We start from the raw sequence: 13,120 nt of genomic DNA on the forward strand, positions 1-13,120 counted from the left end.
TCCAAACTACAACAGGGGCTGCAGCCCTCCTCAGGCCCAACCGGATGGGAAACATGGCACTGTGGGGTGTGTTCATGGTGTGTGGGGCATGGATCCATAATGTGCTGATCAAGAGCCACTGCTGAGTAAGGTCCATAGGAGCACCGTGTGTATGCATGCGGGACACACTGGGGCAGTTGCAGATTCAGCACTGCTATGCGCAAGTTCAAAGTGACCTCTAGGCTGCAGCTTCGTAGCCTCGAATTGGAGCCAAATGCACCAGGAATGGCTACAATAGTATGTAGTTTTCACTGAACAAGCTTCCTTTCTTGACTTCCAATCCCACTGTAATCTAGGTGCTAATTTCACCTCAATCCTAAGGTGAATCGCAATGAATGAACAGAGCCATGCATTCCAAATCTTTCTAGTTGTGAAACTACTCATGTAAAATTCTTTCTAAGGTTCTTGTTATAGGGCCTTGTTAAAGGGAGTCAACCAAAATCCTGTCCCTACTGAAATACTAGCCATGATACATAGCAGAAGAGGGAAGAAAGTCTAAATCATTTTAGAAGAAAGACAAAATAAAATTCTGTTTCTGGACTCTTTTCATGGACTTCTTAGCAACCACAAAATACTGTCACTCTGCTACTCTCTACGAATGTAATAATATGGAAGCACAAATAAGTCACATCGAAAAAATCTACAGTTACAGAGCATCATCTGAAAATTATAATCCTATCAAGTTCCCACACCGAGCAGTGAGTTGTCTCTGTAAAGTTCTGCAGCATTCCCATGGCCAGTTGTGAGGCAGAAAAAATCACTGCATTCTGAACACTAAAAGAGGCTCAGAGTCAAATGATGGCATTATATGATACTCAGACGGTGGTGACATGAGTTACTGGATTTGAGCACTCACTGGGTTTCAGCTGTTATTCCAGAGAAGCCCTGAATTTTTCTTTATTTCCAACATTCCCTTAATTATACCCTCCCATTTATTCTGACAGTGAGCTCCACGTTTTGCCAATACCCAGAAAGTATGCCCTTGGCGTTCTAATTGGGGTTGCACGAATTAGTGACTTTGCCTGCATTTCTTTATCACTCACAGTGAGCCTGAAATGCCCCTTTACCCTTAATTTTCCAGAGCCCTGGGGGTGTTTTTGCCATCTGGCGTTCAAGACTTCCCGCTGAGCCCTTCCCTTCCCCTGTGCCCACTGGGGCTTGGATCTGCCCCTTGAAAGGCATGGTCTATGCTTCCAACCTGCACACAACTGGTCAAAGCAGATGCATACTCACAATCACTAGGGACCCTTCTTCAAGCGAATGATATTTACAATTTCTCACCATGAAAGTCCCTCATAATCTCCATGTTTCCAAACAGTGTACCAGGTGAACACAGCTTAAAGAACAGCAAATTTTCAGATCATGGAAAGTGAAAAAGATGTGGGAGCAGAGGTCCTGGATTCAATGCCAAGTTTATCATCACCTTAGAATATGATGCTGGCTGGGCGTGGTGGCTCATGCCTGTAATCCCAGCACTTTGGGAGGCCGAGGTGGAAGGATCACCTGAGGTCGGGAGTTCAAGACCAGCCTGACCAACCTGGAGAAACCCCGTCTCCACTAAAAAATACAAAATTAGCCAGCTGTGGTGGTGCATGCCTGTAATTCCAGCTACTTGGGAGGCTGAGGCAGGAGAATCACTTGAACCCAGGAGGCGGAGGTTGCAGTGAGCCAAAGGTTGCAGTGAGCCGAGATTGCGGCATTGCACTCTCACCTGGGCAACAAGAGCGAAACTCCATATCAATCAATCAATAAAAAAGAATATGATGCTAAAAACAGCAAATCACACAGGGTTTAACATGTGCTAAGAGTTTAAAATGAATTCATTTCATTTAGCCTGTACGACTTTCATTTATTTTAGAGATGAGAAAGTCAAGGAACCCAAATGTTAATTAGGTAACAGGTCCAAGGTACACAGCAGGTAAGGTGCAGAATGAGACTAGTTCCCAGGCATCTGGCTCCGCACCTGAGCTGTCAACCACTTCTCCAAGTTGTGTGATTCAGAGCTTGTTTGAAAGCCAGCTTCCTCATGTTTGAATGTAATTCCTGTAGTAGAGATTAACCATATGGGAAGTTAACTGGGATAAACAAAACATTGCGTAAGTTTATATGACACTCTGTGCTTCAGGCATTGGGTGCCTCACAAATATTTGCAAACACAATCAGGCAAGAGCTGATAAATGCCTCTGCATGGCGGCCTCGTCACTAGGAATTACCCAAACCAGTCAAATGGCCTCGATCCCTGGGGTTCAGAGGCCTTTTCTTAAACACAAAAACCCTTAAGCTCTTTGCTGCTCAACTGTGGTTCAGCAAGCGATTTGCTACCCAACCATCTATCTTTTTTTAAGCATCTTCTTCCTCTTTTACCTGCAACTGGCCTTACCATTCATCCCCATGATCCCCACTGACATAGAATCTTGAGACTCACTGGCAGGGGCTGGACACAAAGGAGCCAGTGAGAAACCCACATATGAGGGTGGTACAGACTCTAGGAAAAAGCCAGAGTGTCTCAAGGAATGTTCAGGCAGTTGGGAGCCTAGGTAGGTGCCAAGGAGGTACCCCCAGGTCTATGGGTCCTGCCCTGGGAGGCCCTGAACAGCCTTACTCTGATGTGTGGGCAGGTCTGAGATCTCAGAGGTCTTCTCACTGGATTCACTTGTCCATTTCTTGCTCACTTTCCCAAAGCCTTAATGAGTGCCTCCCATGTGCAAGGCAGGAGAGAGGACTCAGTGGTGACTGAGATAAACCTTCTGCCTTAACAACCTTTACAGTTGAGCGGGCAATGCAGACAATACATGAGGGAAAACCATGGAAACAAAATGATTTTAGAGAGGATGAGCACTACGAGGCCATAAATAGGGTGAAGGTAAAGAGGGATACAGTAAGCACATCACTAGTCTGTGGTGGCCAGGAAAGGGCACTTCAGAAAATAGGAGCAGAGCTCGTGTCTAAATGAAAGAGGCAGCCACTCGCCTATCTGGGAAAGGTGTTCTTGGCAGAGGAAATAGTGCAGGGTCCTTAGATGAAAGGGAGTTTGGTATGTTAGGGAAACAGAGGTAAGGTCAGTGGTCAGATAGGATGGGTTTGGGCAGACACACTCAAGAACTAGGGCATGTAAGGTATCGTTGAGGAGAGTTAGGAGCACAGATTTGAGTTTCAGTCAAGTTGGAGACACGGGAGGGCTTTGAGAACCGTGGTCTCATGATCTCATGTATTTTATTGAAAAATTATGCTGGATGCATGGTTATGTAGGTGAGATGGGGTGGGGAGATAGTTCGGGATGGGGAAAAATAAACCCTGACTGATACTAGTGGGACAAGTGTGTCACTTGATGAGGAGAGGGAACAGGAAGGAGCGAGAGTCTCTGCCTGGAAACTCTCAGATTCTTGAAAGTCTGGCTCACTTCCAGCTGCAGAATCTGAATTGAAGGCACCTGGAAAACCCAATACTGTGTTTAAGTCTCACGGCAGCCCTGCTATGCAGCAGTGGTAACATAACTCAGTTTCATAGGGTCAGTCATGGGAAATTGGGCCTACACTCTGGTCTGTGCCTCTGGGCCAACTATCTTGGCCCTGCCCTGAAGGAAGCCAGAGTTCTAGTCAGTCCATGGTCATCAGACCCATCTGTTAGTGGATTGACTGGGTGGTGTCATCCAGAAGGAAGAAGGGTATATTAGTCTGTTCTTATGCTGCTATAAAGACATACCTGAGACTGGGTAATTCATAAAGGAAAGAGGTTTAATTGACTTACAGTTCTGCATGTCTGGGTCTGGGAAGTTCTCAGGAAACTTACAATCATGGTGGAAGGGGAAGCAGGCACTTCTTACATGGTAGCAGGTGAGAGAGAGTATGTATGAGTGTAGGAAAAACTACCATTTATAAAACCATTGGATCTAGTGAGAATCTATTCACTATCACAAGAACAGCATGGGGAAAACTGCCCCTATAATCCAATCACTTACCTCCCTCAACACATGGGGATTACAATTTGAGATGAGATCTGGGTGGGGACACAGAGCCAAACCATATCAGAGGGGGCAACACAGGAAGGCTGGCAGCTTGGTGTCTGAGGTCTTTTCCAACCCCGAGTCCAGTTTTATAAATGGGATGGGGAGAGGAATCCTGTGTTTTGTGAGTTGTGGGCCTAAGGAATATTATCGATGACACCCAGGGAAGAGCTGATTGTTAAGCACTTGCAGGTCCTTTGTATTGTTAAGGACAATCCAAGTCAGTGAAATAATCTCAGCCTCTGAGGACCAGTAGCTTTTCCATTAACACAAAAGCACCAAAGGTCTTCCCTGCTCAACACTGTGGTGCAGGAGGCCAGTGGCTATCCTACCATGTCTTTTTCCTTAACACCTCTTTCCTCTTTTCCCACAAACTTGAGCTTCCCCTGCCTTCTATATAAACTGCATTAATGAGTGGCTGTCTTGTGCTACCCAGAGGGAGTAAGATAATCTCTCTGCCACACCAGCCCATATGGTGCAGAGGATGATGCAGAAAATACACAAGGAATAAACACAGAAATATGATGATTCAGAAAGGATGAGTGCTATGAGGTAATAAATCGGACCAAAGGAATAGAAAATGTGTTAGTTCGTTCTCATACTGCTATAAAGAACTGCTCAAGACTGAGTAATTTATAAAAGAAAGAGGTTTAATTGACTCTGAGTTCTGCATGGCTGGGGAGGCCTCAGGAAGCTTACAATCATGGTGGAAGGTGAACGGGAAGCAAGGCACCTTCTTCACAAGGTGGCAGGAGGGATAGTGAATACAGGAAGAACTACCACTTATAAAACCATCGGATCTCGTGAGAACTCACTTACTATCATGAGAACAGTATGGGGGAAACTGCACCCATGAATCAATGACCTCCACCTGGTCTCTCTCTTAACACATGGGGTTATGGGGATTACAAGGGGGATTCAAGATGAGATTTGGGTGGGATCACAGAGCCTAACCATATCAGAGAGGGATGAGGAAGCACCATCACTAAGCTACAGTGGTCAGGAAAGGGCACTTTAAGAAGACGTGATTAGAGTTGGTATCTAAATGAAGGAGGCAGCCACCACATATGTGGTGTAAAGGTATTCTCGGCAGAGGAAATGCCCAGTGCAAAATTCTGAGACTTAGTGAGCCTGCCATGCTAACTGGACAAAATCGTGGTCAGTGGAGTCACAGGAGGTGCTTGGGTAGGTATACACCTGCAAGGACCAGGGCATGGACAACCTCATGGGCCAGGAGAGCATAGATTTGAGTCTCAGTGTAAGTTGTAGGCACTGGAGGGCTTTGAGCAGCATGGCCCATGGTCTTATTTATGGTTTTTAAATGCTGACATTGGCCTCACAGTCGTAAAGGTGAGACAGTTCAGGGAGGAGATAGGGAAAGGGTTGATTACTTAGCCTTTGTGGTCCTTCCAACTCTCAGTCCAGGCTTGTGATGGGGCAGAGAGGACACAGAACAGGGAAGAGAATCAGGGATCCTCGAAAAGTGTTCACATAATTTTGTCTGGGGCTGGTCCTCACTGAAGAGTGTTGGCTTTGACCTGTAAACCCACTTGAGACACCCTTCAGAGTCAAGGTTAAGGTGGCTTCCCGGTGGACACCCCAAGGGAGTTTGGGGTGAGAAGGAAGCTTGTGCTCTCAGGGTTAAATATAATTTGCATTTACATCATGCACATTTTAAAACTGCAATCCTAAACATTGTAATCCTATCAGGTCTTCTTTCGAGATGTGTAATTATTAATACATTAAATTATGGCAATAAAACCAATAGAGAAACAAATAAAATTATTTAAAAAGTAAGTTGGAATAAAATAGTTGCTGTTTTCCTGAATTATTTTAGAGGCTTTGCTAAAAACAACATAAAACTGTAATTATGCTACTTACAAATAGAATAAAATGGAAGTAATTAATTTATTAGTGTTGTTATTGAAATAATCTACAGGCAGAGCACATTATGAAGCAGAATCCTGTCTTTTTTCATCTTATACATGATATAATCACTCACTGGCAATAAAACTAAAATAGAAAATATGAAAATTATTGTAGAGCAGAGGAAAAGGGCTCTTGTGGTTGTGGTTGTGTAGTAGCATGCTCAGTGGGAGGTGGGATCTATCCAGGGGTGACTCACTTTCGTTTTCAGGCTGAGTGGACAGTGCTTGGTGTCCAACATTTCTTGTGGCCAGAGGAGAATGGGGAGGATGTGTCCAGCCAGGGAAGCTCCCTGGTGAAAAGGATTCCTAGGCAATTGTGTCCTGGATTTCTGGAACAGGGGAAGAGCAGAGGTTTCTTTTCTTAGGACCTGTCCCTTTAAGACTCTCTAAACATCTGAGGTCTGACAAGGGGAGGAGGTGGAGGACCAGGGCCTGGACCAGTGGAACTGTGGTCTAGTGGTCATGTTGAATAGAAGGAAGGTCCTGAGCTGTGGCAGCCAGCACCAGGAGCATCAGGTCATGCTCTTTGTGGACCTTGTGAAGGATCTGTTGAGTCAGGGTGGAGTTGACCTGAGGGAGGCCTCTTTCTCCTGGGATCCTGACCTTGGGAGGAATGCTGGGTCTCCCATGAGTCACAGCTTGGTGTTCCTCTTTAAAATACTTTTTAATTTTTAATTTATTTTATAAATTTTTTTGTGAGTACATAATAGTTGTATAAATTTATGGGATACATGAGATGTTTTGATAAAAACATGCAATGTGAAATAAGCACATCATGGAGAATGGGGTATCCATCCCCTCAAGCATTTATCTTTTGAGTTATAAACAATATAATTGCACTCTTTACTTTAAAATGTACAATTAAGTTGTTATTTAGTATAGTCACCCAATCAAAAGTAAGCCTTATTAATTCTATTTTTTTTGTAACCATTAACCTTCGCCACCTCCCCTCAACTCCCCACTAGCTTCGCAGCTTCTGGTAACCATCTTTCTACTTTCTGTGTCCATGAGTTCAATTATTTTGATTTTTAGATTCCACATTAAGTGAGAACATGCAATGTTTGTCTTTCTGTGCCTGGCTTATTTCACTTACCATGACGACCTCTGGTTCCATCCATATTGTTGCAAATGATGGGATCTTATTCTTTTTTATGGTAGAAGGTGCTCCTCTTTCTTTGGGGATGTGGACATCCGGAGGATGCCCTGGTGGTCCTTCTGCCAAATACCCCATTTGCAACACCAGGGACATAAGTATATTTTTGAAAACCTTACATTTTCTTCATTTTTTTTTGGTGTCAGATATGCGTTTTCTTTTTTATTTTATCTTCACACTACCTAGTCAACAAGTTGCATTTCCTTTTCTTTTCTTTTCTTTTTTTTTTTTTTTTTTTTTTTTTTGAGGTGGAGTCTCGCTCTGTCACCCAGGCTGGAGTGCAGTGGCACAATCTCGGCTCACTACAACCTCTGCCTGCCAGGTTCAAACAATTCTCCTGCCTCAGCCTCCCAAGAAGCTGGAACTACAGGCATGTGCCACCATGCCTGGCTAGTTTTTTATTTTTATTTTTGTATTTTTAGTAGAGAAGGGGTTTCACCATGCTGGCCAGGCTGGTCTTGAACTCCTGACCTTGCGATCCACCCACCTCGGCCTCCCAAAGTGCTGGGATTACAGGCGTGAGCCACAGTGTCTGGCCCGCATTTCCTTTTCTTAAGATACAAAGATGTGTCTTAGCCAACAGAGCTCTCAACTCATTGTCATGGGATTTTCTGTCATGGGAAATAAGCTGCTTTGATAATAACCTGTGATTCTTTCAAATTTTTCTGAAAGCATTTTGGTTTGTATTTTGTAGGTGTCCATCTCTTCACAGTCATGGCTGATCTTGTCATCCACTTTTGGGAGATTCTCCTGTATCTGGGCAGGGTATGCCTTCTCTACATCAGGTATCTAGTAAAAATTATTATTTTTGGATGCAGTTGAAGGAGGACTTGAATTTTCCACTGGAGCTGTTGCATTGCCTTCCCTTCCCCTCCCTTGCCTTCCCTTCCCTTCCCTTCCTTTCCCTTCCCTCCCTTCTTTCTTTCCCTCTTTCCTTCCATTCTTCCTTTCTTTTCCCTTCCTCCTTCCATCCCTCCCTCCCTCCTTCCTTCCTTCTTTTCTTCCCTCCCTCCCTCCTTCCTCTCTTCCTTTCCTTCCATTTTTCCTTTCATTCCCTCTCTCCCCTACCTCCTCCCTCCCTCCCTCCCTTCCTTCCTTCCCTCCTTCGTTCCTTCCTTCCTTCTTTCCTTCCTTCTTTCGTTCCTACCCTCCCTCCCTCCCTCTTTCCTCCCTTCCTGTCTGCCTGCTCTCTGCCAGAGTACTCTTGTCCTCTTTCTTTTCTGGCTCTGTGCCCTCAACTCTGGAAGGTCTCATGCTGTGAGGGACTTCTCCTCACCTGTGATCCTGCTAAAGCACTGTCCGAATAAAACTCATTGTTTGTTACTGCCACTCCAAGGTCGTATCTTTTTCCTTATTATCTGTGAAATCCTGTGAACTCTGTACTCATCCTATGTCCTTCCTAGGACGGGCATAAATGTAGAAGAAACTATCTTTGCTGATCTCAGAAAATAATGCCTTATCTTTTTTTTTTTGGCAGGATCTCATTCCCATCACCCAGAATGCAGTGCTGTGGCACGATCACAGCTCTCTGCAGCCTCAATTTCCCAGGCTCAAGCAATTCTCCCACCTCAGCCTCCCGAGAAGCTGGAACTACAGGAATGTGCCACCGCATCGGGCTAATGTTTTGTATTTTTGGTAGAGACAGGGTTTAGCCATGTTGCCCAGGCTGGTCTCGAATTCTTGGGCTCAAGCAATCCTCTCACCTCAGCCTCCTAAAGTGCTTGGACTAGAGGTGCAAATCACCATGCCTGACCCTTTATCTCTACTTTTGGCCAGAAGCAATCCAGTTAACACTCTATCATATATTATTCCTCCTACTGTTTTCTCCTCTCTAAATTCTTCAGCTTTGGCTGTTTGCCCATTAGTCACTGCCTGGGAGTTTTCAACTTTTAAAATTTGTGACAACATTGTTAGGTCATTAAGATGGGTCCTCATCCGATGTAACTGGCGTTCTTACAAGAAGCAGGGAAATGACGTGGCGGAGACACAGGAGGGGGAAATACCGCGTGATGATGGAGTTAAAGACAGGAGTTATGCAGCTGCAAGCCAAGAACACCAAGGGCTGCTGGTGACAGCAAGCGAGGAGGGAGCCTGGCCCTGCTGGCATCTTGATTCAGACTTCCAGCCCCTACCACTCTGAGAGAATAAATTCCTGTTGTTTTAAGCCACCCAGTTTAGGGTGCTTTGTTGCAGCCGCCTTAAGAAAGGAATACATCGTATCATTCCCAGAAACTGCTTGAGTCCCAGGGTTTGAGACTGGAAAGTGCTGAGCCTCCCTCACTACCAGATGCCACCTTGGCGAGGGTGAGTAGGTAGGAAAGGCTGAGCAGTGACCCCACATTCATGTGCTATGGCACATTTGAGAACATACCAAACAGGAAATGAAACTGATGTGAAACAGAAATTTCCGTCATAAAAACAATTTGCATGAAACGTTCACTGTACTAAAAAAGTAGATGATTTAGGACAATTTTAACTTTTACCCTGAAAATAAATGTTTAAACCATTCATGATGAAACGGTAAGATGACAGTGTACTATTGGATCCAATGGGACTGTATGTACGTGTGTGTGTGTGTGTGTGTGTGTGTGTGTGTGTGTGTGTGTGTGAATGTTTGCGATCACATTCATTTGACATGCAGGTTGAATAAGTGAGTCACTCTCCCCAGTACACGGGGGCTGCCTCTCCTAGCAGCAAATTTTCTCATTGGTTACTGCTGTGTTTCGGATGTCCCTTCCAAAACTGATGTTGAAACTAAATCCCCAATGTGGCAGTATTGAGAAGTGGGCCCTTTAAGAAGTGATTGGATCATGAGGGGTCTGCCCTCTTGAATGAATTATCCATTCATGGATTAACAGATGAATAGGCTATCATGGAAGTGGGACAGGTGGCTTATAAGAAGGGCAAGAGACGGCTGGGCGCGGTGGCTCACGCCTGTAATCCCAGCACTTTGGGAGGCCGAGGCAGGCGGATCACGACGTCAGGAGATCGAGACCATCCTGGCTAACATGGCGAAACCCTGCCTGAACTAAAAATACAAAAAATTAGCCGGGCATGGTGGCGGGCGCCTGTGGTCCCAGCTACTCAGGAGGCTGAGGCAGGAGAATGGCGTGAACCCGGGAGGCGGAGCTTGCAGAGAGCCGGGATCGTGCCACTGCACTCCAGCCTGGGAGACAGAGCGGGACTCCGTCTCAAAAAAAAAATAAAAAAATAAAAATAAAAAAAGGGGCAAGAGACACCTGAGCTAGCACAGACGACTGCCTCGCCAGGTGAGGCCCTGCCTTGCCTCAGGACTTTTCAGACAGTCCTCACCTGCAGGAAGGATCTCACCAGATGTGGCCCCTTGACCTTGGATTCCTCAGCTCCACAACTGTAAGAAATAAGTTTCTTCTCTTTATAAATTACCCAGTTTCAGGAATTCTCTTATAAACAACAGAAAAAAAAGACCAAGACAGTTACTGTATATCTTCATAAAACTAATTTTGTAGGATCTGAGGGCTTTGTTCTCCAAGAGAACACTTGCTCCAATTCTCAGGTTTTCTTCTGTAGTTCTGTAATTTTACTTGAAGAGAAGAATGTCAAGAAAAGACATTAGTAATTAATAAATGCTGGTGGATGATCCCTCTAGCGTAAAACTGGAACATGGCACTGTTTTGTTATTGGTGCTATTAAATCTGAATTATCACTTTAAAAACATATATGAAAAGCAGATATCAGGATTCAATTACTGCTTATTTCATGGAGAACCCGGGAAGAATAAACATATAAATGTGTTTTTAAATTTCTGTTTAATGCATATCACTGTTTCATGTGATAATGTGTGGATTCACATGCCCCAGCTTAGAAAGAAAAACAAACTCATCCAATCGTGCTTCTTGCTGTGTTCATTTGCACACTAGAGAATGATGACTTCTCTTTGTTAGAGCCACAAGTATATGTAAATTGAAGAGAATACATTTGTGACTGGATTATTTACAACCAATACATTGCTAGGTGATAAGCAATTCCACTGGGAGATCCATTGACTGTTGCTACCGAGTGGATTTCACAGAATGGCGACTGCAGACAAATGACCTGTTTCCTCCCTGGTTGCTGGGATCCAGCATTCTGCCTAGAAACAAACCAGTTTCCATTGTTTGGGGTTAACCCTATTTACTAGTAATGATAATATTATCCCTCATAACATTAAAGGTTTAACTATTGGTAGGCTTTTCATTTAACTGTATTTCAAGAAAGGGATATGCAATTTAAAGAAGTTTATTTTGAAATAGTTTCAAACTTAGAGAAAAATCACAAGGACTGCACTAATAACTCCTCCCACCCCCTTTGAAGGAATAATGATAATTATATAATAATGTGTTTTTAATTACTGGCAGGTATTTTATTTGGAGGCATTTCTGTGATTGGAACAGGAGTTGAGACGATGTCAAATGTATGATAACAAAGTAAATCCCTCAAATTGTCTCACAGTGAAAACGTTAACAACAATAACACTACTCTTAAATTCCTTCTTGTTTTCAATAGAAAGGGCCAGTAAGTGAAAGGGCCTTTACATTTTTGTTTTGGAACAGCTCTGCAATTTCATTTTGATTTCATATTTCTAGTAATAAAGCCTCTTCTGACTCCACATTCTTATTTCTGGGCAGACATTTTATTCTTCAGAATTGTAGTGATGGACAAGAAGCTAAATTGGAATGACTACTGTATCAATGATTAATTTGATAATTATAACAATGTCCAAACATTTAGAAATTACAGTATTTCATCAGATGTATTTTTAAAGAGGCACCTCTGTGAGAAGAACAGGTAGGCAGGCCAGCTTTCCCCTGGCTTATCACCCCTTTCCCTGGATTGTAGAGCATCCTTCACTCGGTCCCCTGTGAGAGGCCAGCAGGTTACTCTGCTCTCTGTGGGGTTTTTGTTTTTACCAGACTCTGCAATAACAGGCCCAGGTTTTGCAGCTCTGATGACTTTCTTTTTGGTGATGAAGCCACAGGGTATTAGCACCTCCTCGTGGCCATACATGTAATCTGACACTGTCCCTTGTAATAGTGATGATAATGACAGTGTTAGTGCCAAGCCACTTTAAAATGCTTTTAGTTCCTGGCAGATGTTTTATTTAGAGCGATTTCTCTGAACGTAAATGCCAGTTATGGAGGTTTTATATATTTTAATTAAGTAAATATAAGGTATTATTTTAGTAAAGGAAGTAATAAATCAATATCTCCGACAACTTTAGAGCACTACTTCACAGGATGTATTTTTTCAGATATATTTTTGTAAAGAAGACAAAGAATGAAGATGGTTTTGACTTAAAAAAACTTTTATTTTAGGCTCGGGGCACATGTGCAGGCTTGTTATATAGGTAAACTGCGTGTCATGGGGGTTTGGGGTACAGATTATTTCATCACCCAAGTAATAAGCATAATATCCGATGGGTAGTGTTTTGATCCTCTCCTTCCTTCCACCCTCCACCCTCAAGTAGGCCCATGTGTCTGTTGTTCCCCACTTTGTGCCCATGTGTTCTCCTTGGTTAATTCTCACTTGTAAGTGAGAACATGTGGCATTTGGTTTTCTGTTCCTGTATTAGTTTGTTTAGGATGATGGCCTCCAGCTCCATCCTTGTTGCTGCAAAGGATGTGATCTTGTTCTTTTTTATGAATGTGTGGTATCCCATGGTGTATATGTACCACATTTTCTTTATCCAGTGTACTGTTGATTGGCATTTAGGTTGATTCCATGTCTTTGCTATTGCGAATAGTGTTGCGATAAACATACGTGTGCATGTGTCTTTATGGTAGAATGATTTCTATTTCTTTGGGTATGTACTCAATAATGGGGTTGTTGGGTCAATTGGTAATTCTCTTTTAAATTCCTTGGGGAATCACCACATTGCTTTGCACAATGGCTGAATTAATTTACATTCCCACCAGCAGTGTATCAGCATTCCCCTTTCTCTGCAACCTTGCCAGCATCTGTTATTTTTTGACTTTTTAT

At 43.5% G+C, this 13,120-nt stretch overlaps 1 long non-coding RNA gene across 3 annotated transcripts in view, besides 2 other annotated features; it reads left to right on the forward strand.

Annotated features, from left to right (window-relative positions):
• Positions 6,032-6,081: an enhancer, noted in NCBI's record as "active region_11147". NCBI's record gives its function as "activates an Ori minimal core promoter by ATAC-STARR-seq in GM12878 lymphoblastoid cells {active_cell/tissue: GM12878}" and the evidence as "EXISTENCE:reporter gene assay evidence [ECO:0000049][PMID:35858748]".
• Positions 7,818-13,120, forward strand: part of LOC105371348 (uncharacterized) — a 154,623-nt gene continuing 149,320 nt past the window's right edge. For 2 of the 3 annotated variants that reach the window (XR_933748.4, XR_001752255.1), the window contains exons 1-2: positions 7,818-7,908; positions 8,601-9,427. This is a non-coding gene — a long non-coding RNA (uncharacterized LOC105371348). Of the gene's footprint in view, positions 7,909-8,600; positions 9,632-13,120 lie in introns of those variants that run through there. The other variant, XR_001752254.2, reaches the window with a different exon arrangement.
• Positions 11,935-11,994: an enhancer, noted in NCBI's record as "active region_11148". NCBI's record gives its function as "activates an Ori minimal core promoter by ATAC-STARR-seq in GM12878 lymphoblastoid cells {active_cell/tissue: GM12878}" and the evidence as "EXISTENCE:reporter gene assay evidence [ECO:0000049][PMID:35858748]".

The sequence above is a fragment of the Homo sapiens genome, chromosome 16 (assembly GCF_000001405.40).
Source record: "Homo sapiens chromosome 16, GRCh38.p14 Primary Assembly".
NCBI lineage: Eukaryota > Metazoa > Chordata > Mammalia > Primates > Hominidae > Homo > Homo sapiens.